Source organism: Homo sapiens, chromosome 9 (assembly GCF_000001405.40).
Source record: "Homo sapiens chromosome 9, GRCh38.p14 Primary Assembly".
In the NCBI taxonomy this organism is placed as follows: domain Eukaryota; kingdom Metazoa; phylum Chordata; class Mammalia; order Primates; family Hominidae; genus Homo; species Homo sapiens.
This window is the reverse complement of record NC_000009.12, coordinates 93,630,546-93,654,654: the sequence shown is the minus strand read 5'-3', so window position 1 is coordinate 93,654,654 and position 24,109 is coordinate 93,630,546. Positions and strand designations below refer to the sequence as shown.

The 24,109-nt window shown below is 50.6% G+C and overlaps 1 protein-coding gene across 5 annotated transcripts in view, besides 2 other annotated features; it reads right to left on the bottom strand.

The window, feature by feature from the left end:
• The window catches only part of PHF2 (PHD finger protein 2), a 103,004-nt gene that overhangs the window by 24,933 nt on the left and 53,962 nt on the right, over nucleotides 1-24,109 (bottom strand). For 3 of the 5 annotated variants that reach the window (XM_005252051.3, NM_005392.4, XM_047423474.1), the window contains exons 3-7: nucleotides 18,130-18,244; nucleotides 8,866-9,026; nucleotides 5,443-5,584; nucleotides 1,290-1,476; nucleotides 80-242 (exon numbers count right to left, since the gene is read on the bottom strand). In XM_005252051.3, the coding sequence (XP_005252108.1) occupies nucleotides 80-242; nucleotides 1,290-1,476; nucleotides 5,443-5,584; nucleotides 8,866-9,026; nucleotides 18,130-18,244 (768 nt within the window). The remainder of the gene's footprint in view (nucleotides 1-79; nucleotides 243-1,289; nucleotides 1,477-5,442; nucleotides 5,585-8,865; nucleotides 9,027-18,129; nucleotides 18,245-24,109) is intronic. The other 2 variants (XM_006717143.3, XM_047423475.1) reach the window with 1 other exon arrangement.
• Nucleotides 10,334-11,174: an enhancer, noted in NCBI's record as "H3K4me1 hESC enhancer chr9:96405763-96406603 (GRCh37/hg19 assembly coordinates)". NCBI's record gives its function as "activates a minimal SCP1, AML or CMV promoter by ChIP-STARR-seq in naive and primed H9 embryonic stem cells {active_cell/tissue: H9 hESC(naive and primed)}" and the evidence as "EXISTENCE:reporter gene assay evidence [ECO:0000049][PMID:30033119]".
• Nucleotides 18,458-19,187: an enhancer, noted in NCBI's record as "H3K4me1 hESC enhancer chr9:96397750-96398479 (GRCh37/hg19 assembly coordinates)". NCBI's record gives its function as "activates a minimal SCP1, AML or CMV promoter by ChIP-STARR-seq in primed H9 embryonic stem cells {active_cell/tissue: H9 hESC(primed)}" and the evidence as "EXISTENCE:reporter gene assay evidence [ECO:0000049][PMID:30033119]".

The window sequence follows — 24,109 nt, the reverse complement described above, 5'->3', positions numbered from 1 at the left end:
CGGTCCAAGGGACAGGGCAGTAAGCTTGATGAGGGCCGGCAAGCCCTAGTACATGGTCCCCAAAGCTGCCCGCACTCACCTGAGGGGATGAAGAGGGTCTGGCCCTGCTTGACGATGCACTTGTAGCATTTGTCGACCTGGTCAGCAAAGAACATCTCGCTGTGGTTAGAGGCAGACCGCCAGCGCTCATACAGGGAGATGTTGGCCGAGGCCGGCCTGATGAGATAGAAGGTCTTCTCCCCCTGCCAAGAGAGCCTGTTGGCAGAGCCGCCCATACTGGGATGCGGGGGTCGGGGGTGCAAGTGACAGGTCCTAACGTGAAAAGTACCCTGCCCAGGTCCACGACTCCCGCCTGCAACACTGAGGGCACAGGTGCTTTGCAATTCAGAAATGTGCATGTTAGGAAGGTTCTGGGTATCTGGGCCCTCTGCACAGTTAAGAGCTAAAGCCCATAATCCCACATTACATTGTTTCGAGGCACTACAAATGGTGTGGGTGCCCAGGCTGCAAATAAAGCTGCAAATGACTGTCAAAAGCATTCCAGGTAGCTCCACTCTTGAGAGCCACTTGGATCTCAGGCTGGGTCAAATGATGCCACTGTGTCCCAGGCAGTCTTATGGCAGGCCCCAGGAGGGGTTCTGCACCAGGAGCAGTGAGACCCCTGTCTTACTGCAATGGGGCCAAGGCAGGTTCTGAGGATGCCCCAGTGACTTGCTCAAGGCCTCCCAGAGGTGGGATCAGCATGTGCACCTGCCCGCCCCCAGATCCAGGTCCAGCTGGTCTGAAGAAGCTCAGTTAGCAGCTGGGGGAGCCCACAGCTTAGGGTTTCCTTTGTTTCTGTTGCTATTTACGTCTCATTTTTCTTCTGGCTTCCCTCTCTCAGCCTCGATGATGAGGCTCCTAGCCTTCCCTGCCCACTCAGATGCCCCTCTCCTGCCCCCTGGCTCCTGTGCGGGGCCCTGGCTATGGCTGGCCCCTCTTCCAGGATGTTTTTGCAACATTCCCCTTTCTCCTCTAAGTGCATGGTCACCTGGTGGTCTCACCCAATTGTTAACGAGCCTGAATCCCATCAGAACAAGGAGACACTCATGCGGTTCTCTGGTCCCACATGCACCCCTGCCCCTCCACCCAGAGATGTCTCCAGAGGCCTCCTGTCCCAGGGATGGACAGTCCAGGGGCCCTCTGGGGAGTCGCATCCTGGCCAATCAGGGCTTGTGGGGACTGCAGACAATCCTGCAGATGGGTCATGGCCATGGCAAGGCAGAGGTGCCCCGAGGGGCGTGGCTCACCTTGAGCACGTGGTACCAGGCAGAGGCGCCCCCAGAGTCGATGTGGAAGTCGGTGTAACTGTCCTTCACGCAGATTAGGCAGTACTTGGTCACTTTGGGCTTGGCCAGCAATGCATCATCTGGCCAGTAGTTTTCTACCCATGACAGTTTCTTTACAATGTCAGGTGGCTCCACGAAGCTGGACATTCTAGGGGTGGGAGAGGAAGGTGGTGAGGGAACCTGGGACTCCCTTTTTTATTTCCCCTGCAGTGGGAAACATGTTCTGTGAGGCATGTCCCACGCTCTCTCACCACCTGCGGGCCACGGGTCACAGCTCCCATTTCACAGAGGAGCAAACAGGATCACAGAGGACGGAATGAGCCCAGGCGCTGGCTGTGGCCCTGGCAGGAGACTGGGTCTGACGCTGGCCTCCACCCCCAGAAGATAATGAGAAGGCCCCAAAACCATCTACCCCTGAGAGGGAACCTCCTTTCCTGGGAACTGGAAAGCGAGTCTTTCCAGACTGGCCACGTGCCATGTGCTGTGGCACACTGGGCTGAAGCGTAGATATCATTTCTCACACTCAGCCCGGCACCTCTGGCGTCACCTGGATAACAGCCACTGCTCTCCAGAGCTGACAACAGGGTGCCCACGACCCCTGGCCACGTCAAGTCACTGTCAAATCCAGCCAACTCATATCCAGGGAAGATAGGGAGATGCAGAGGCAGCCTTCAATTCAATGACATGTCACTGTCCTGGATAAAACGTGTTAAATTTCATCAAAAATGTCAAACTAGGCTGGGCATGGTGGCTCACATCTGTAATCTCAGCACTTTGGGAGGCCGAGGTGGGCGGACCACGAACTCAGGTGTTTGAAACCAGCCTGGCCAACATGGTGAAACACTGTCTCTACTAAAAACATAAAAACTAGCTGGGCATGGTGGCATGCCTGTAATCCCAGCTACTTGGGAGACTGAGGCAGGAGAATCACTTGAACCCAGGAGGCAGAGGTTACAGTGAGCCAAAATCACCCCACTGCCCTCCAGCCTGGGCAACAGAGTGAGACTCCATCTCCAAAAAAAAAAAAAAAAAAAAAGTCAAGCTCAACAGCACCCGTGCAGTGACATTTCAGCTGCCACTAAGAACCAGATCTGGGGGTTCTTGCTGCCTCCAGGAAGACAGGGTCTGTCATGTCTCTGTCATCCCATCTGCAAGTGCTGTTGTCTCTACTCGAAGGCCACAGCAACCTAGACAAGTTGTCCCCGGACAAGACTGTCACAAATCACAAGCAGAGTCCTGCCGCCCCAATCCCACTAGCCTCAGTCACAGACCTCACCTTTAAATCTCCAGCACGTTCCAAACTAGCACCCTTCTCCATCCTCCAGGAGTCCTCATTGCCCCCATTCATACCCACTGCCAACCTCTGAAACCTCAGCAGTCTGGGCACATCACGGCCCACAGGAGAGGGTTCCCTGCCACAAGGGCCCTCATGACCCATCTCCAGCCATGTCCTTCAAACACCACACACCACAGGGGGCCAGGCTGTCCCTGCCTCCCACCACACCCTCAAACGTCCTTCTTTCCCTTGCTTGGCCTGTTTAGGTGCAAGCCACACCTTTCTCTGAGTTGGCGGGAGGAGGTCCTCAAAGCCCCCATGGACACGCAAGGCCACCATGAGCAAGAGACCAGATGTGACATGTATCTGAATTACCAGCAGTGGGAACATCACCCTAGACCTGCCACAGAGCAGGCATCTCTCCGGTCTGGGGGTACATTGGTCACTGTGGGCCCCCCTGAGGCAGCAGGCCCCAAGAGCTACCCCAGACAGCCCATGGTGTCAGGCCTGACCTTACCTGCTTGGCCAACATCCTTGGGGACAGACTTAATGATGAAGCAGAGCCCACTCCATGGACCCGACCCAAGCCCATGTGAAGGCTCTGGTAGGTAAGTGCCCAACAAAAGTTGCAAACAACCCCCTAATGATCCACGGACTGGGCCAGTGGAAACAGGAGGCAAAGGGGTGGCCCTGAAAGGCCCAACAGAAAACCACAGGCCAAAGTACCATCTCTCCCTAGCTCCATAGCCTAGACATCTCTCTGTGAGAACCCCTCAACCCAGGCAGGGCAGTAAATTAAGCTGATGGAGACATGACTCAGTTATGTTGTTTGGTACCAAAGCAATACATACCACTTTCTCTGGTACCATAACCCACTCCATTTCCCTTTTAGTCTTTGCTGTTAGGAAGCTCAACCAAAATGAATGCCCATTACCTTTTTTTTTTTTTTTTTAATTTTTAAAATAAAGACAGGATCCTGCTTTGTTGCCCAGGCTGGTTGCAAACTCTTGGCCTCAAGTGATCCTCCTGCCTCAGCCTCCCAAAGTCTTGGGATTACAGGCATGAGCCACCATGCACAACCATATTACCTTTTTGTGGCTCTTGGCATAGTTTTGTATTCTCTTTCTTGGTTTTAGATAATTCTTTTGTTTCTCCCTACCTGCCCCTTTGCACGTGTTATGTGCTTTCAGGAAGTAGGCATGACGGAAACGATGAAGACTAAAGCCATCCTTAGCCACCCGCGCCTTACGGTGAGTGAGTGTTCTGGATCTTTCCCAGGGGCCAGCTGGAGGGCAGAGGTGATGTGATGGAGCGGGGGTGAGGGGTGGATCCAGGGCAGGCACTGACCACACCCGAGCTGACAGCCTGGGGGGAGAACAAGGTCAGAGCCACAAAGTGCAGGGCCAGCATCTCTGCCACCAGGAAGCCAGGCTGGTGTAGGTCAGCCCTGACAGAGGATGCCCCACCCAGTGACCGCAGGGCTGACGACAACTAGTGCCAGGAACTCAGGGGGACCGGGCCAACCAAGGTGTATCTGTGTGGGGCCTGCCTTGCCTGGAAAGCAGGGAGGCAGGTCACAGCAGCCGCCCCTGCAGGATCTCATGTGTGTGAGTGTAGGCGTCTACACGGGTGTGTGCAGGTGTTAGTAACTGTGCCAGGGATGCGGGTGTTAGGAGTATGAGTGTGCCAGTGAGTTAGTATCTCAGTGTGTCAGGGATGTGTGTGTGTCATAAGCGTGTCATGAGTCTATTGTTGTGTTTGAGTGTGTCAGTGTCTGTGTATGAGTGTGCCCACAAGTGTGTCCATGAATGCCCGTGGGTGTATCGCATGTCTATGTCATGTGAGTGTGTCGGTGTGTTGTGAACGTGTCACAGGTGTGTTGGCGAGTGTGTCCATGTGTGAGTGTACCGTGTTGGTGAGTGCTAAGTGTGTGTCCATGTGTCTGCTAGTGTGTCGTGTCTATGAATGTGTCATGAGTACGTCCATGGGTGAGTGTCGGTGTGTTGTGAATGTGTCGTGTGTTGGCGAGTGTGTCCGTGAGTGTGAGTGTACCACGTGTTGGTGAGTACTGAGTGTGTGTCATGTGTGTCCATGTGTCCACTAGTGTGTCATGTCTATGAATGTGTCATGAGTATGTCTATGAGTGTTGGTGTGTTGTGTCACGAGTGTGTTGACAAGTGTGTCCATGAGTGTGACTGCACCACACGTTGGTGTCTGTGAGTAGGTATGAGTGTGTCATGACTGCAGGTGTGTGACATATCTATGGGTGAGCATGTCATGGGTATGTCCATGAGCGAATGTGAGGGTCAGAGTGTCATGAATGTCTCATGCATTGGAGTGTCCATGAGTCAGTGTGAGTGTCATGAGTGTGTCCACGAGTGGGTGTCATGAGTGTTGGTGTGTCCATGAGTAAGCGTGAATGTTGTGTGTCCGGAAGTGGGTGTGTCATAGATGTGTCTGAGTGTGTCATGAGTGTGTGCATTCTGGAAAAAACTACACATTGTTACCAATGGTTCTCTCTGAGGAGTGGGATGGGCAGGGCCAAGACCAGAGGAGGCTTTGCCTTTTTGCTCCTTATTTTTGTTTGAATTGTTCTCAATACGTCACCTTCATACTTTAAAAGAGAAACAGTCAGCTGTGGGCCAGTCTTATAAAAAAAAAAAAAAAAAAAAAAAAGGAAAAAATTTAAAAGAGAGAAACAGTAAAAATCAGTGTGTGCCATGTGCAGTATTCCAGACTCTGATACCTTCGACCTGTGCTTCTCAGGCGACTACCAAGGACGGCACAGCGCCCCTGCCCCAACCCCAGCCCCCACACCCCCAGGGTGGTAGCACTCACCGGGTGTCAGAGAACTCGAGGTTGGTGACGTTGAGGACCCGCTTGCGGTTGGTGCTGTAGTAATAGTCCACAAACTCCTTCAGCTTCATCTTGCAGTCCTTCTGCTTGGTGACATCTGTCACATCCACACTCCGTTCCGGCCCTAGGGAGGTGGTGGGAGGAGCTTGAGCACCCTGGGAAGGCGGCACAGCCTCCCTGAGGCCAGGACGTGTGGAGTGGACACACACTCTTGGCTGCCCTCACACACAGCAGGAGCTGCCAGGGGCTGGATGCGGAGGCTCTAGGTGCCAACGTCGAGCTTCACCTGCCTGCTTTTCCCCTGGCTCAACTCTGACCACTCCTCTGACCTGGTGATGCTGTGAGGCGGCCAGGTCACAGGCCTCAGCGACGGTGGCCAGATTAGCAAATAAAAACACAGGATGCCTGGCCTGCCTGAATTTCAGATGAACAGCAAATACATTTTAGTGTTATGTTCCAAGTAATTCATGAGACATACCTACATTTTAAAAATTAAGCTATCAAAACCCCTGCATTTCTAGGGTACCAATTCATTACTCTGAGAATTGGCAGACTGATAAAGGGAAAAGCCTTTTCTGTAGTTGACAAAGAAAAGTTCAGGATAACCAGATGAGCTGAGGAGGAAAATTTCTTTATAAAAGACTCATGACTGATAGAGGGAGGAGGACAGAATTGCCAGTCGCCCTTTGCAATAGTTCTCCATGGCTGCTCTGACCACAAACTGCAAGGCCATGGGGTTTAGTGTGGACAGATGAGGTGGATGCCGGGGCCACTGGCCTTGTCTGCATCACTGCAAGAGTGTGGCCAGGCACAACAGGCCTCCCCACAGATGAAAGCACTCCCACCCAGAGGGAGTCCCACCAAAAACTTGAAGGCAAGTCAAGCAAGCCTCTAACCACGAGTTTATAGGAAACACCCGGGACAGAGAGACCTGCTCAGCAACACCACTGGGACGCTGGCAACCAAATCCTGGATGTGGGACATTCTGCAGGACCAACATGGCCTTCTCTCCAACAAACCAACAGGATAGAATGAAATGGGGCTGTCAGAAGAAAAGAGACTTCAGGGATATAAAAAAATGCAATGTGGGGGTCTAATTTGGATTCCACAGCCAAATGTAAAAAGGCACTTTTGAGGCAACTGGGAAGAATTAAACTGGGTCTTACGTGCCACCAAGGAATTACTGTTAATATTATCGAGTGCGATGATAGAACTGTGATTATATATTTTTTAAATTGTCTGCTAGAGCTATGTACTAGAATTTTTATGGGTAAAATGATGTATATAAAAAGAATTTTTTTTTTTTGAGATGAAATCTCATTCTTTTGCCCAGGCTGGAGTGCAGTGGCACGATCTTGGCTCACTGCAACCTCCACCTCCTGGATTCAGGTGATTCTTCTGCCTCAGCCTCCCGAGGAGCTGGGACTACAGGTGCCACCACCACACCTGGCTAATTTCTGTATTTTTAGTAGAGACGGGGTTTTGCCATGTTGGCCAGGCTGGTCTCGAACTCCTGGCCTCAAGAAATCCACCCACCTCAGCCTCCTAAAGTGCTGGGATTACAGGCGTGAGCTACCATGCCTGATCAGAATTCCTTTTAAAATACTACAAAGAGAACAAAAAAGTGGGGAAACGGAAAACTGGCTGAAAGCTGGTGGCTTTTGTTTCTGGTGCTGAGTGCATGAGGGCTTACTGTTTCTCTAATTTTGTGTGTATTTAAAAAGTTCCATCATAAAAAAAAATTAAGAGGAAAAAGAAAGACATAGAAGCAACACAAACGACGAACCATCTCCTCCCTGCTTCTGCAGGGACAGCTGTGGAGGGAACACGGCCAGGGGAAAAACCAGGCCCCACCCGCATGATTAGGTGAGCCCAGGGCCTTGGTGGCAGGGCAGGACCCAGCTCTCAGAGCTGTGGAAGGGAGGAAATTAGCTCCTACGTGGGAAGAGCTTAGAAAAATGCCTGGCACTAGGCAGGCCCTCACTATATATTAGCTGTTATCCTGTGTGCACCATGCCAGGGTCTGGGAAGGTGAGAAAGAGCACTGGCCTGGCAAGCATGAACATTACAGCTGGGGTACACAAGGCTGCCTGACCAGCATTGTGCAGCAAGACAGAAACAGCCCACCTGATGGCCATGGCCCCCTCTCAGGCAAACCTGCGGTAAAGCCGAGCACAGGCGAGACCAGGGGCTGGATCCCGGCTCAGGGCAGGATCAGCCACAGAGCTAGTGCCACAGCTCCAACTATGTCCAGCCTGCCCTCCTCCTCAGTAAGAACCCCACAGAATCAGCCCCTGTGCATGGACACCCAACACCCTCACCCCAGGTCCCGGGACAAGCACTTTCTAGCCCCTCTTCCGAGATGTCTGACAGCTACCAGGGTGCTCGCTCTTCCTCTTCATGACGAGTTTGGGAGCCCAGTCTCGGTAGCCCCAGGGTGGCCATGTGGCTCCCGAGAAAAGCTGTGGCCCCAGCCCCCTGCTGAAATTGAACTTGATGGCCTCCTGGTGGGTGCCCCTATGTGCCCAGAGGCTTGTACAGGTGACTTCATTTCACCTCCAGCACACACCCCATGAAGGGTGCACAGAGGAAGAGAGTGAGCCTCAGAGTGGTGGGGCCAGTCGTCTCGGAAGCCCCAGCACTGAGAGGCCAGTGTGCCTGCCTGCCCACCTTCTGTCCTGGGGGTTTGCCCGTTCAGGGTTTTTCCTCCTCGTGCCAGCCACCCAGGCATCCCCCATGAGCACCTTGAAGCCCTGCAACCATGTGGGCCTCCATGCTTGGCCATGTGGCCACTGGCCTGTCAGGGTCACTGCTAGGTGTGCTGGCCTCTCCCTGCCACTGCCTCTTGAACGGCACCCCCACAGGTGCTTCCTCTACCCACAAGTGCCCACCTAACCCCAGTAGCTCTGGAGCTGCAAGGGGACATGAAATGGGCACTGCTGATGGCAATGGCACTGGCTAGAACCCAGACGGAATCCAGACGAGGAGATTCTGGTGCCGTGGGGGCAGGTCATGGTACAGATGAGGAAGGCCAGGCCCCTAATCAGGCAGCCAGGATGGGAACATGGGCCCGCACCACCAGGGCCTCCCAGGCATGGCAGTGTCATGTAGCACCCACAGTAATGCAATTCATAGCTGCCAGAATCAAAGGGTCTCCCAGACCAGCCCCTACTTTGCAGTCAGAGTATCTGGGAGGGCAAGGGACCTGCCAGGTCATATGTCATCTCAGTGGGACGCAGGGTCTGAACTAAGAGCACCGGGAACAGAGTACGGTGAGCCTTGAGGCTCCACTGCTCACGGCACACATGGACACAGCCAGGGCGTGGGGAAACAGCATGCACAGTGGTGGGTGTCCCAGCACTCCCAGCTCCAGCCCCAGAGCACTGTGAAGGGGATGGCGCTTACCCACGTAGTTCTCGACGTCACTGACATAGAACGTGGGGGCCGGGACAGCCAGACCCAGCCCGTCTTTCTTAGGGACGAGGATGGGCTCGGTGAAGCCGTGCTCCTCCATGTAGCCCAGCGTGAGCTGACTTCCTGGCACACGGGCCACCACGTCTTCAGCACTGCAGGGAAGCACAGGTCAGAGGCCACATTGGGCCCGAGGCCTCCTGCACCGGGACAGGTGTGGACAGGGCCTCGGTGCTGGAGAGGTGAGCCTGGGTCTGGCCACCCACCTCCCACAGCCACAGGAGGAGGCCTGGCCGTGGTGCCACAAATGGGACGATAGAGCAGCCAGGGCAGATGCCGTGCTGACTCCAGAACCCCACTGTTTGGGGGAGCAGGGACATGGGGTCTCACGTGTCACATGGAAATGTCAAGAGGTGACAAGGGCCTGTCCTTCCCAACAAGACAGAGAGGCAGGAGGCGCCTGGGCCTGAGCAAGGTCGCTCCCCAACCACCGGCACCCGGGCTGACCCATAGGTGAGGACGGGGGCAGCTCCTCCACTGCACCTCCCTTGTACCCCTTCTCGGCTAGGTGCCTCCCCATGGCAGGGCCACCGAATCACAGCTCAGGAACAAGAGCCACTAAGATGGCTCTGATATTGGGAAGACCTTGGACAAAGCCATGTGGAGAGGACAGGGGTGAAAACCAGGTCTCCTTCTGTCTCTCTCTCGCCCTGCCTAGCCTGTCCCCACATTCCTGCCCAGAGGAAGCAGCAGAGGGGCAGGGCCAGGAGGAGGCCCCTGGCTGGCAAGGATGAATGGCATGTGCGGTGACAACCCAAGGACCCGGACAAGAGCATCCTGTCCTGGCCTGCTCCCTACTAGACATGGCCACCACCACAGGGCCAGAGGCAGACGAGAGGGGCCCACAGGCAAAGGGGAAAAATGACCTTGGCAGAGCATTTACACACCCTAGGAATCCTCCCAGGGACATGAGGCCCAGGGGAAGTGTGGTCTGCCCAAGGCCATACAGCTGGACCCAGAGCCCTCAGCCCCAGCCCATGCCCCAGGCTGCCTCCTGCTCCTTGAGAGGCCCCTGGGCAGCTGTGGTCCACAGGGCCCGCTAGAACAGCCTCTGTTTGGTGACCCTGGGGACATGCTTCTATGGGATGGGCACAGTTGTGAGCAGCGCTGGGGAGGAGGACAGCAGGGAACAGGGGAAAGAGCACCCTGCAAGACAGGGCCGAGGGGAGGAGTGCACCACCCAAGGCCTCTGACGCGGACAGACAGTGGCAGGTGTGAGAATGACAGGAGCCGCAGCTGGAGGGCTCCCGCTGCACACCAGAAGCACTGGGAGCCGCCAGAATTCTTTGCACACCAGCAGCACTGGGAGCTGCTGGAATTTTTTTTTTTTTTTTTTGAGATGGAGTTTCTCTCTTGTTGCCCAGCCTGGAGTGCAATGGCGTGATCTTGGCTCACCGCAACCTCTGCCTCCCAGGTTTTAAGCAATTCTCCTGCCTCAGCCTCCTGAGTAGCTGGGATTACAGGCATGTGCCACCATGCCTGGCTAATTTTGTACTTTTAGTAGAGATGGGGTTTCACCATGTTGGTCAGGCTGGTCTCGAACTCCTGACCTCAGGTGATCCACCCACCTCGGCCTTCCAAAGTGCTGGGATTACAGGCGTGAGCCACCGCGCCCAGCCGAGCCTCTGGAATTCTAAGCAGGGCAGTGGTGTAGTCTGCGGGTTGTCCATTGCTGTGCGGACAGTGGCCTGCAGCAGGGCAGAGTGGGGGCACAGAGAGCATCAGGAGGCTCAGGGCACCATGCCTGGACTAGGGGGCAGGGAAAGGGCCAAGGGGGTTCAGGAGATCAGTAAGTCTGGTGATAGCTGAGAAAGTGGGAGGGAACAGGAAGAGGCAAATATGGACGGCCAGGAGACTGTTGTGAGTGGTGGGGGCAGAGGCGGGGCCATTTACAGAGGGCCCACGGTGGAGGGGCAGGAGCTGGGGACAGGGACAGATCTGATCTGGGGACACATGTGGTCTAAGATACCTGTCAGATTCTCCAGGGATGTGCCAGTTGGATAGACAGGCCACAAGCTCAGAAGAGCTAAAGAAGTTGTGGAGCTGAGTCCCCAGAAAAGCCTCAAGGAGAGCAGTTAACAGGACAGGAAGCAGGCAGGTGGGAGGAAATCCATCCCCAACAAAGGACAAGACTTCAAGGAACTAGAGGGCTGCAATGCCTAATTTTGCCAAGAGGGCAGTTAAGATTAGAACTGAAGAATGTCCACTGGCTTTGATCACATGGGAATAGCGTTAAGGATAAACCAGGGGGGACTAGACGGTGAGGAAGAAGAAAGAATGTGTACAGGCAACCGTGTGGGAAGCTCGAGGCATACAGACCATGCAAAGGAAGCTCTGAAAGCAACAGGGAAGGCCTCCCATCCACCTGGGCCACAGGCAGAAAATTGTCCTTGATGAATCCCAATGCCAACGTCCTAGCAGTGAGAGTTCCAAACTTGCACTAAACCCATCGGTTGGGAACCCCAAACTGGATCTGGAACTAATCTTGTGAAAACCATAAAACCTTAGCAAAAGGCAAACACAAACCGTCTTGTAGGTGGACAGCAGCCAAGGACATACTAGTCCCAATGGAATGTGACCCCTCTGAAGCACCATGCCCCACAGAAGGAGGTGAACCACCAAGAGGGTCAGTCAATAGACACACCAGTCAAAAGAGATCACCAGAACTGAGGATAATAGAACAACCGAAAAGAGATTTGAAAATAAATATACTCAACACATTCAGAAGGAAATCAAGAGGATGCGGCAAGGCACAGGGATGTATTAAAAAAGAAAAAAGACCAGGCAATATTGAAAAGGAAATTTATAGAAATTTTAGAAATAAAAAATACAATGATCAAAATTTTTTAAACTCAATGGATGCACTAAACAGTAGATGGCTGAAAAAATAGTAAATTTGAAGAAAAATTTTTAAATGATACAGAGAATACAGAAGAAATGCTACTAAAAGAGAAAACAGAGTATTTTTCAGAATTGACATGTGACTCTCCAAATTAAAGAGGCTTACTGGGTTCTAAGCAGAATAAACAAAAACAAATGTACATCTAGAGGCAATATCGTACACTCATGTACTGAGTACATCAAACAATATAAAGAAACAGCAACTAGACTAACAACAGATATCTCATTAGCAAGAGATGTCAAAAGACAATAAAATACCTTTCAAAGAATTAAAGAAAAACAGCTTTCACTCTAGAACTTTAGATCCATTTTAGAATATTAGAATCATGTAAGAATAAAGACAGTCATTGTCAGACAAGACAGTATGTATTTTCATAAGCCTTTGCTGAAATAACTAAAAGATATAATTCTATAAGAAGGAAATCAAACTTAGAAGAAAGGTGTGGGATTCAAGAAACAATGGAAAACTAATCTACAGATTCCACATAATCCCTATCAAAATCCCAGCTGACTTCTTTGCAGAAATTGACAAACTAAACTTGGAATGCTGAATAAAAATGCAAAGCACTCAGATGACCAAAACAGTCTTTTAAAAGAACAATGCTGGAAGACCCTTCCCAACCTCAAAATTCAATACGAAGCTCCTACAGTCAAGACGGTGGTACTGTCATAAGAAAAGATATACAGAGGAATGGAATACACTTAAGTGCCCAGAAATAAATCCTTAACACCCACAATCAACTGCTTTTCAAGGAGAGTGCCAAAACAGTTCAATGGGGAGAGGCCAGTCTTTTCAATAAATGTTGCTAGGAAAAGTTGATATCCATATGCAAAAGAATAAAGTTCTTCCTACCTCAGATAGTATACAAAAATTCAATCAAAATGAGTCAAAGACCTAAATATAAAAGCTTAAACTATGAAACTCACAGAAGAAAACAAAGGCATAAATCTTCAAGATCTTGGATTAGGCAATGATTTATCAGCAGTGATACCAAAAGCACAAGCAATAAAAGGAAAAAAGAGGTAAGTTAGACTTCACTAAAATTAAAAACTTTTGTGCTTCAAATGACGCTGTCAAGAAACTACAAAGACAACACAGAATGGCAGAAAGTGTCTGGTAAGGACAAGTATCTAGAATATGTAAAGAATTCTTACAACTCAAAAATAAAACAACAGATAACCCAATGAATTTAAGGTGGCTAAAATAATGTGGAATTGTTCTTCTGGTTTCAGCTCCAACATGTGAAGAGTTTGGATGTTGTCACTCCCCTCTTCCCCACAAGAAAAAGGCTGAACAAACAGAAAATCAACAACTTTTCTTATATTCATCAGAGAATTGAGCTCATAGGGCAAACAACCAACCACCCAAAATCTGAGGAGACAGAAAATCATAGCTGAGATCGCCTTACCTGAAGCGGAAGCTGCTGGAGGCAGTGACCTGTAGGAACACTTAAGTGATAACTTTTGTCAAACTGCCAAAAGTTAAGTGTAGATCAGTTTAAGAGTTAAAAACTCCTTAATCCGGCAGAAGGATGGAAATAGAATCTATTTTTAAATACATCCAGAGTGTTGTTCTCCATAACAAAAGTCTGCTCCCCTGTATCAGACTCTACTGGACATGGGGAAAGCATTTGGCGACCTCCAGCCCCCACTAACCTTCCTGTCTCAGATAAGGAGAGAAAAATTAAAAAGGCTGAGAAATGCTCCTAATGATCACAGCCCAGAGACTCTACAAAACTGAGATTTAATCCTGAAATTATAGAACACTTCCCCTCCCCAAAACCTACCACCATACATCAGTATAATAATAGCTGACTATAACTGAGAGAGCTGCAGACACAGACTCTGTTTAACATGAAATTCTTAGGAAAACCCAAAGAAACCAGGAGAAAAACAAACAAACAAACTAGAAGAAGCTGACATCTCTGGCACCTAGAGCTATAGCAAATTTAACACAGCCCAGGTCCTACTCAGATTAACATAAAACCTCACACTAAATCCTAATTACCTCAATTCCTATTACACAATACATCGTGTCCAGCTTTCACAAGAAATTTTAAGCCTGCTAAATGGCAAGAAAAACTGTAGTCTGAAGAGACAAAGCAAGCATCCGAAGAAGACTCAGACATAGCACAGATTTCCGAATTATCAGACAGGAAATTTAAAATAACTAGGATTAGTATGTTAGCTACACTAATGGGAAAAGCTGACAACATGTAAGAACATATGGGTAATGTAAACAGAGAAATGGAAATTAAGACAGAGTCAAAAGGAAAGGCTAGAAATTAAAAAACAATAATAAAAGTAGCAAAAATGAAGGATGCCTTTGATGGGCTCATCAGTAGACTAGACATGGCCAAGAAAAGAACCAGTAAGCTTGAAGTTATATCAATAAAAACTTCCAACCTGAAATCCAAGCAGAACAAAGAAGCATGTGGGTGGGGGTCAAGGGGAGGCGCAGAATATCCAAGAAATGTAGAAGAAGAACTACAAACAGCCTAATGTGCATATTGAGAATATAAAAAGGAAGAGAAAATGCAGTAGAATAAATATTTATTTGAATTAATAATGGCTGAGAATTTTCTAAAATTAATGGCAGACATGAAACCAAAGATCCAAAAAGCTTAGACCACATAAAGGAGGATAAATGCCAAAAATTCTGCACCTAGGCATATCATATTTGAACTGCAAAAAAAACCAAAGACCAAGCAACTATCTTGAAAGAAGGCAGATGAGCGAGGTCAACTTCCAGCATGACAATGAAATGCTGAAAATTATTTAAAAAACAATTATTCAGAGCCTCTGGAAATGGTCCCAAGACCAAACAGCAAATGAAGAAACATCTATTTAAGAAAATCTCCAAAAACTCAGTAAGAACAGTCTGTGATATTTGGACCAAGACTGCTCCCTCCATTCACATTCAGAGCTCAGAGGTGGACACTCCACTCCCAAGTGCTGCAGCCAAAAACACAGGCTTCGTCCCCACCGGCTCCCAGCTAGAGAGCTTTCTTCTTGGGAGAGCAGGACTTCCACTTCTCATTCTGCCCCAGCTGCCTGTTGCTGAGTTTACGTCTGCAGCAAGTAATGCCAAGAGGTGGGGGCTGCCTTCTTGCATCCAGCTCTGACTAGTGAAACTGAAGCTCTCCCTTGGGTGTGGCATGCTGATAGTGCTGAGGGGGGCCCTGACCACCCTCACCTTGCCACTTCTATTCAAGGTGATATTGGAGGTTCTTGGGAGAGCAATTAGGTAAGAAAAATAAATACAGGTCACCTAGATGGGAAAGGAATAAGTCATACTATCTCAATTTGCAAATGACATGGTCATATGTATATATAAAATACTAAGGAACCCTCTAAAAAAAAACTATTAGAACTAATAAACTAGTTCAGCAGGGTTGCAAGATACAAGATCAACATATAAAAATCAATTGTATTTCTACACACTATCAATGAACAATCTGAAAATTAAGAAAACGATTCTATTGACAAAAGCACCAAAAAGAATAAAATACTTCAGAATATATTTAACAGAGGAAATGTAAAACTTATACTCTGAAAACTATAAATAATTCTTGAAAGAAACTTAAAAGATCAAAATAAATGGAAAAGTAACCATGTTCACAGCTTAGAGGTTTTAACACTGTTAAGATGGAAATACCTGCAGAGTGATCTACAGATTGAAAGCAATTACTTTCAAAATCCCAGCTGACTTCCTTGTAAAAACTGACAAGCTGACCTTAAAATTCAAATGACATACAAGGGACCTAGAATGATCAAAACAAACTTGAAAAAGAAAAACAAACTTGGCCAGGCATGGTGGCTCACGCTTGTAATCCCAGCACTTTGGGAGGCCGAGGTGGGCAGATCACAAGGTCAGGAGTTTGAGACCATCCTGGCCAACATGGTGAAACCCTGTCTCTACTAAAACTACAAAAAATTAGCCAGACGTGGTAGTGCACGCCTGTAGTCCCAGCTACTTAGGAGGCTGAGGCAGAAGAATCACTTGAACCCGGGAGGTGGAGGTTGCAGTAAGCCAAGATCGTGCTACTGTACTCCAGCCTGGGTGACAGAGTGAGACTCCGTCTCAAAAAAAAGAAAAGAACAAACTTGGAAGACTTATACTTCCTGATTTCAAAACTTACTATAAATTACTATAGTAATTAAGACTGTGTGGTACTGGCATAAGCAGAGATATAGATTAGTGGAATAGAATTGAATATCAGAAACAAACACATCTATGGCCAATTGAGTTTGATAAGGGTGCCAAGACTGTTTACTAGCAAAAGAATAGTTTTTTCAACCAATGGTACTGGGACAAATGAAGAGCTGCATGCAAAAAAAATGAAGTTCAATCCTTACCTCACACCATATACAAAAATAAGCTCAAAATGTATCAAAGAACAAACTGTATGTGCTAAAACTACAAAACTCTTAGAAGAAAATATATCAATAAATCTTCATGACTTTGGATTTGGCAATGGATTCTCAGATATGCAACAAAAGCACAACAAAAAATAGATTAATTGGACTTTATCAAAATTAAAAACTTTTCTACTTCAAATGGCACTATCAAGAAAGTAAAAAGACAACCCACAGAATAGGAGAGAGTATTTTGAAATCATATATCAGGTAATGGGGCTTGTATCTAGAATGTACTATATATGAAACTTTTAAACTCAATAACAAAAAAAAAAGCAAAAAAATTAAAAATGGGCAAAGGACCTGAATAGTCATTTTTCCAAGGAAGATATACAAGGATCGACAAGCTCATGAAAAGATGCTCAACATCACTAATCACTAGAGAAATGAAAATCAAAAAATAAGATACCAGTTCATACCCACTCGCATGGCTAGAATCAAGTTAAGTCAGATAATAACAAGTTCTAGTGAGGATGTGAAGAAATCGAGACCCTCATACCCTGCTGGTGGGAAGGTAAAACGGGGAACCTGCTTTGGAAGACAGTCTGACAGTTCTTCAAACAGTTAAACAGAGAGTTACCATATGACCCAGCAATTCCACTCCTAAAACAATAAAAGCATATGTCCACATAAAAACTTGTATAAAAATGTTTATGGCACAATTATTCATAGTAGACAAAAAGTGGAAACAACGCAAATGACCATCACCTGATGAATGGATAGACAGAGTACCTATGTGGATATCTATACGATGAAATATCATTCAGCCTCAAAAAAGGAGTGAGGTGCTAACACATGCCACAGCACAGACGACCCTTGAACACACTCTGCTAAATGAAAGAGGCCAGTCTTGTTGTAGAACTCCATTTATATGAAGCAAATCTACAGAAACAAGAAAGTGGATTAGTAGTTGCTAAAGACAGCTGGGAGGGGGGATGAGAAGACAGGGATGATGTATAAAGGTTATGGGATTTATTTTGGGGGTGATGAAAATGTCCCAAAATCAGTGATGTGCACATATCTGTGAATACAGTAAAATCCACCGAACTGCACACTTTAAATGGGTGAACTGTATTATTTGTATTTTATCTCAATAAAGGTCAGAAAAGAAAAAATAAAGAAGCCAGGAAAAAAACACCTTACCCAGAGAAGGGTCAGAACAAGAGTTCCATTGGATTTTGCATTAGAAATCACACATGCAAGAAGGGAGTTGGAATTTAAAATGTCAAAAGAAAAAAAACCCACCAACTTAGGATTCTGCGTCCAGCGGAATTATCCTTCAAAAGTGAGGGAGAAATAAAGGCTGTGTGACAAACAGAAACTGACTCCAGCTCATGAACGGCTGCAGGGCAGCTCAGAGGTGCCTCCCCTAAACAGCTCCTTTCTCACCAGGAGCCGCTCCCGGCTGTGTCCTTCCTGTGGCCAAGAATTCTGTCCTCTGCCCTCATGCAGAAAAAGAGTGTGGGCACTGGGGGTCTCTGAGAAGGAGACATGAGGACAACGCCTGCCTGGGCCATGGGAGCATGCTTGTGGGCAGAGGAAGGACTGGGAGCCAAGGGCTCAGGAGAGTACCTGGCATGTGCTGGGCATACTCAGGTTGGGAGAGAGGTCCCTTCCACCCAGCGGGAGAAAGGTCACCAATACTTGTCCCCCACCCCCAGGGAAGTGCTGACCAAGGGAAGGAGAGGTTGGCCCATTTGCAGGGAGCTTTGGGTTGCTGGTGCAGGCTATGCTGCCTCCAGGAGACAGGCTTCCTGCTTCCTGCTTTCCAGCAAGGATAGCAAAGGAAGCCCCCAGCAATGGATAGCGGGACAAGGGACGGAGAGAGTGTGCATCCCCTGGCTGCAGGTGGTGGAGCATACAGGAAGGCCAGCCCACCTGGGAAAGGTCCGGCTCCGCAGCTCCTTGATGAAGAGCTGGCTGCCATTCTGCACGGGCTTGACGTCAGGCGCTTGCCCCGGGCCGTGTTTGTGCCAGGTCCGCTTCTTCTTTACTGTGGAGGAGACCGGAAGCAAGGTCGGTCACACAGCGCAGCCCCAGCAGGGCTCCACAACTTCCCCTAAGAACCTTGGCCCACCCAGCCTACTAACAACTCCCAGCATTGCTGGGCTCATGCTCACCTCTCAAGACTGATGACACCCCCACCCTGCCATGCACATAGGGAGGAGTCAACCCCCTACCTCGACCTCGTGTCCTCTCCCATCCCACACCTCACCATGGATGGCACCAGTGTCCTCCATTCCCTGACCCAGAAGCTGGGGTCTCCCAGGACCCCTCCTCATTCAGGCCCTGAGTCTGCAGAGACCACCAGAGAGCCACCTCCTGAAAAGGTCCTCAGCCACGGTTTGGCCTCACCATCCCATGGCTTCCACAGCTGGACTCTGTCACTTCCCTACTGGGACCTCCATCACCCCAACTGCCACAGCCACAGACAGGGGCAGGTCAGGTCCCACCATCTTGTTCCGTCTCCTCCCCACCTCCCCAGGTGGTGCACATCCCCACTCCTCTGTGCTGGCCACACTCCAGCCCTCCCCTGACCACCGCCAACCCTGGGCCTGTCTACCCCACCTACTTCCTCACACTGCCCAGGTCACACCTTCTCCTGGGGCACGAGGTACACACACCTTGGACTTTTTACATGTGCATGTGAGCACATGTGCACACATTCCTAGTGGACTATGCGCCCATGCAACAATGCAGGCACACACATATGTACATATACATGCACACACCCCTACTGGACCACAAGCCCTATGCGCACACACACACCTCTACTGGACTTCAAGTCCCTAAGGGGAGGGAAGCAATTTCCTCTCCACCCCGCTAAGTCCCTAGCTCCCAGCCTTGTATTCAACCAGGCAGAGAAGAGCAGCTGGGGTAAGGGAGGCCACTGGGGCCTGGAGATGCCCTCCTCGGGGGCTGCTTGGCTGAGTCTGACACAGGCTGACCCTTGAGCAGTGAAGGGACTGAATTCAAGAGCAGAGCCAGGCAGGGCCCGTATTGTGCCCTTCCTTCACAGACAAAGGCAAGGTGGGGGGCGCAGGGGATGGGGGCCTTAGAAGGCCATGTGTCATCCTCCTGAGTCTCGGTGGTTGTGGGGACAAAGGGAGCTAATGACCACCCAGTGACAATGCCTGTCTCTGAGCAGGATCTGCTACCAACACGAAGGAGAAGGGCTGGGTGGGGCTGGGACCTTTTATTTGCAAAGAATCTTCGCATTGTGTTCAATCTCCCTGCCCACAATTCAAGTGGACATTATGGAAACTTGGCAAAATCCGACAGAGTCAAGGCCAGAAGCCAGGACTTCTGAGGGAAGCATCGGGCACAGATGAGCAACAAACAGGGTTCAAATCTGTTTTGGCCAATCCTCTTCCAGCTGTGTGACCTTGGGCAAATTACTTGACAGCTCTGTGCCTCGTCTTTACTAGAGAAAGGCTCACACGGGCCTTGTGGGGTGGCTGTGGGATGTAGGTTGGCACATGCACACTGTCTGCTCCAGACTCTGCTGGGCCTTTTCTCAGGGCAAAGCCACCTGGTGCGGTAGGTGCTTGTTCACGGGCAGAACACACTCACAGGCTGGCTTGGTGCTCCTAACAGACCCTGGGCTCATCCCTGTGTGTCCCCTATGCCCAGTACTGGGCCCAGCACACAGTGGGCACAGGGGGAGTGTCTGCGAGCAGATGAAGTCTCCCATCCTTGTCACACTGGCTGCTCAGCTTCAGAGCAACTTGGAAGGAGAGGTGGATGCATCTGCCTTCATAACTATCAACAGAGAAGGCTCAGTTCAGCCCATGCTCCTGCCCTCTTGGTGCCAGCCTGAGCCAGGCAATGCCAGGGCCATAGATAGCTCCAACCTGCCCTCCTGTTGCAGTTTGCAAGCACTCACTGAGTATCTTGGCTCCGTGCAAGGCTGGGGGTGCTGGAGCAGGTGTTACCCAAGCGATAGATGCTTGGGAGCCCCTGCTTCTTAAGAGCTGAGATGGGAAGGGGGCCAAGGCCGGCCCTAGAGGTGTGTGTGCTGAGATGTTCAGCCCAGAGGGTAAAGGAGTTGGAAAAAAGACACCCCCAGTGACAGCCCAGACCCTCCTGACCCCCCAACAATCCTAAGCCTCAGTGACTGTGAATACCATCACCCTCCTGCTGGGCCTGCTACTACCTGGGGAGGTGTGGATATCAAGGGAGCAAGGGGCTCCAGAGTTCACAAAGTGCCTTCCCTGCCTTGGAAGGCCTTGTGGAAATGGAGGCAGTTATATCTACTCCATGGGGGAGCCAAGTGGGACCTAGGGAGGAAACTTCCAGAGCTGAGCTTTCTGCACCAAGCAGAGCTCCCTGCCTGCCCTTAGGTCACCACCTGCGAGGAACACCGAGTGTGGGCTGGGCTCCAAGGAGAGGCTGCAATGAAGGTCCAGGACAGCGGCGGCTCAGGCAGGAGCGTGAGGCAGCCCCGTGGTTATGCAGCAGCAGTGACATTGCAGCTGGGAGAGGCCTCAGGGCTGGCTGAGGAGATCAAAGAAAAGGAGGCAGCCCACAGAGACAGGGTGCCACGGAGGGGAGCCAGCAGGGGCCCAGCACTGCTGGCAGGGTGGGGGCGTCCTCCCCGTCACCTGTCTGCATGGTCATTATTTCACCAATTGCACTCCTGTCCAAGGACGCTCACTGAGGCCAGGGGCCCCCGGCTACACCTGCGTACCTCCTCTCTCGTGGGGCGGGGCCCTCACTTCACAGATGAAGCAACTGAGGCCAGAGACGTGGGGCCGTGCCAAGGTCACCAGCAAAGGTACACAGAGGGGCAAGGAGGTCTACTGCCCCTCCTGCTGCACCAGCATGGGGCGCCCTATCCCAGAGCCACATGCGGAGCATGAGGACAGCGCCCCTGTGACAACACACCCACTGAGACAACTGCTGAGCAGAGTCACCCCAACCCCACAGGGCAGGGCGGGATGAGGAAAGTCAGTTCAACAAGAAAACTGACTGTGTATAAGTCAGGAGCTGCAATTCAGGGCCGCTTCTAACCACTATGTGGCTTCCTCATCAGATGGGGATGCCTTCCCGAGTTCCTGGCCAGGTACCTTGGGACACCCTGTACCAAATCTGTGTCAGTCAGGTAAACCTGTGGGCCTATGGCCCCTGCCCACAGGCCATGGCCAAAATCAGCTCAAGGGACATATTGGAACGGGGAGGGACCCTGCAATCCCCACCACTGTGGCTTTCAAAAAGAGGGGACAAACTGTGAGGACCAGACCTCAGGCACAGCTCGCTCTGGGAACCCTGAGCAGCCCCCATCCCCACCCGCAGGCTAGGGTGGCAGGAGCAGGACAGGTGGAGGCAGGTTCAAGGCCTCCAGAGGTTCCCAGCACTGGCTTAGAGCTTCTCCAGGGACACAGAGTGGCCCTCTTATCCCCAGTGTGCCTTGGTGTGCAAGGCGTGCCTGGAGTAAATGCAAAGACCAACTGGGGCATCATAGCCTCTGGGCACAGTGTACACTCACTTCAAATCTGAGCATGCACACTGGTGGAAGGTGCTAGAACTGTGTACCTTTGTCCCTGATGGAGCACACATACTTCAGTAACAACTGAAAATCTGCTTCAGAGAATTTATATAGCACATTCAGCACACAGATGTGTGCATGCACACACATACATACAGCTGTGGACTGAATATCCATCCCACCAAAATTTATCTGTTGAAATCCTGACCCCTAAGGTGATGATTTTATGAGGTGGGGCCTTTGGGAGGTTATGAGGTCATGAGGGTAAAGTCCTCCTGAATGGGATTAGTGTCCTTATAAAAGAGACCCCAGAAAGCTGCCTCCTTCCTTCCACCATATGAGGACATGGCAAGAGGGCACTGTCTATGAACCAGAAGCAGGCCCTCACCACACACTGAATCAGCCAGCACCTTGATCTTGGACTTCCAGCCTCCAGAACTGTAAGAAATAAATTTTCTATTACTTAAGCCCTCCAGTCTGTGGTATTTTGTTACGGCAGCCTGAACAGAGTATGACATACACACAAGCACATGCACACACACATACACATGCACAAATATGTAAGCATACATGTACATGCACACACACATGTGTACAGCCAGGCAGGGGCTGGGGGTCCCACCATCTGCAACCTCAGCACTGTCTGCTAGTCTAGAATGTCTCTCCCTGGGCAGCTGGCCGTAGGAGACAGGAAGGGGAGCCTGCACTGAGGTTTTAGCTGCAATCAAGGGCAGGTTGGGACACCAGGCCTCTGCCCAAACTCCCTGCAGGGACAGGGGCAGGGTCTGGGTGAGGCAGGCACACAGGGCTCCCATGGCAGGTGGGCTGTTTCTGGGGATGTCTGGGGACATTAGAGAAATCAAAACAGTGTGCTCACCAATATGTGAAACCTGCCCAGCCCCAGCACCACACCATTGCTCTACCCCAGCCCCAACTCATGCAAGAGCCCCCAAGCAAGGACCCCTTGAAATGTATGCTGACTATCAGAAGAGGCCCCTGGCCCAGGGGTTTCTGACACTTTCTTTTCTACCAGTCTGAAAGCCTCTTCTCAAGTGATGCACACGTGTACCTCCCACACAAAAGCAACGCCACCCCAGCATCCTCCCAAGCCCAACTCAGGTAGGACCTGAGAGGGTCCTACCCCCCAGGAAAGCACCTCCTGGGGTATCCTGGCTCCAACCCTACTCTGCTCTGACACCTGCCCCCTAGGCCCCATGGGGCAGCCCCAGGTCCCCACTGGAAGCTCAGCCCTGTTTGTGTCATTCCTGTCGTAAAGACAGCTTGGCCCTGAGCTTTCTGGGTGGGCTCATTGAGGTGCCAGAAGCATGAGGATGCCCCGCTGGGCTGAACCTTCCTACCCTTTATCTGTTTTTGAGCAATAACCAGATGATAGGTTAATGAGCTTGCCGTAGGCAGATGCATTCTGAGCATAAATGCAGCCAACTACTGGGGACCAGGAGTAAGAAGGCAATTTAGGAATCCCAGAACCTCCCCACAGGCAAACTATCAGCCTGAAAGTTCAGGAAGAGCTGCTAGCTGCTAGCTTCTCCTCATCACCCGCTTGCATATTTGTTGAGGCTGTGCTGGGGATAGGGTCGAGACCTGAAACACATGCAGCCCCCACCGCTGTCCAGCAATAGACAGGAGAAAAGCATTCAGGCCTTGGGAGAGGCCAAGAAAGAGCAGCCAGGTCCTCAGAGTAGTGAGACCCAGCATCACCAGCTGCCAGGCCAGGCCTCCAAGGCTCCCTCGACCCAGCCTCAGCTCACAGAACAGGGGTGCTGGAGCCCCTTCCACCTATTGCCCGCATCCTCCCTCTGCCCCTACTGATTCCATAGGACTCATCCCACAGGGGTCCGGGGGTCTGGTGCTTCAGCTTGCAACTGGGCACTGGGAGGGGTCTCCCTTTGAAGGGGAGTGACTCAGACTGGCTGTGACCTGGAGCCAGATGCATTTCCTGCCCCACCTTGTCCAGGGCTCAGGTCAGCAGAGATGTGATCAGCTGACCCAGCCAGGGCCCATGTCCAGCCTGCAGATTCTGTGAGCACCCAAGACCCTCCAGTGAAGTGGAAACCAGAGGCCACATTAACACACGCACACCCATATCCATACCATCTGTCCTGTCTACAGGCCACACCCCTCCCGAGTCCTTGCAGACCACCACACAGCTCCCCCTCTGCAACCAGGGCTGAGGCTTGGAGCTCAAGGCTCATATAACCTCCAGCTCACCTGGCTGAACCTGCACAGGGTGAACCAAGCCTGTATCCCAGGACCCAGCACACCTGAAAGGGCCAAGAAGAAAACGAAGCCTCAGCCCTTAGGACACACAAACAGCAGGTTGTGTGGGAAAGGCAAGGGCCCTCCAAGATT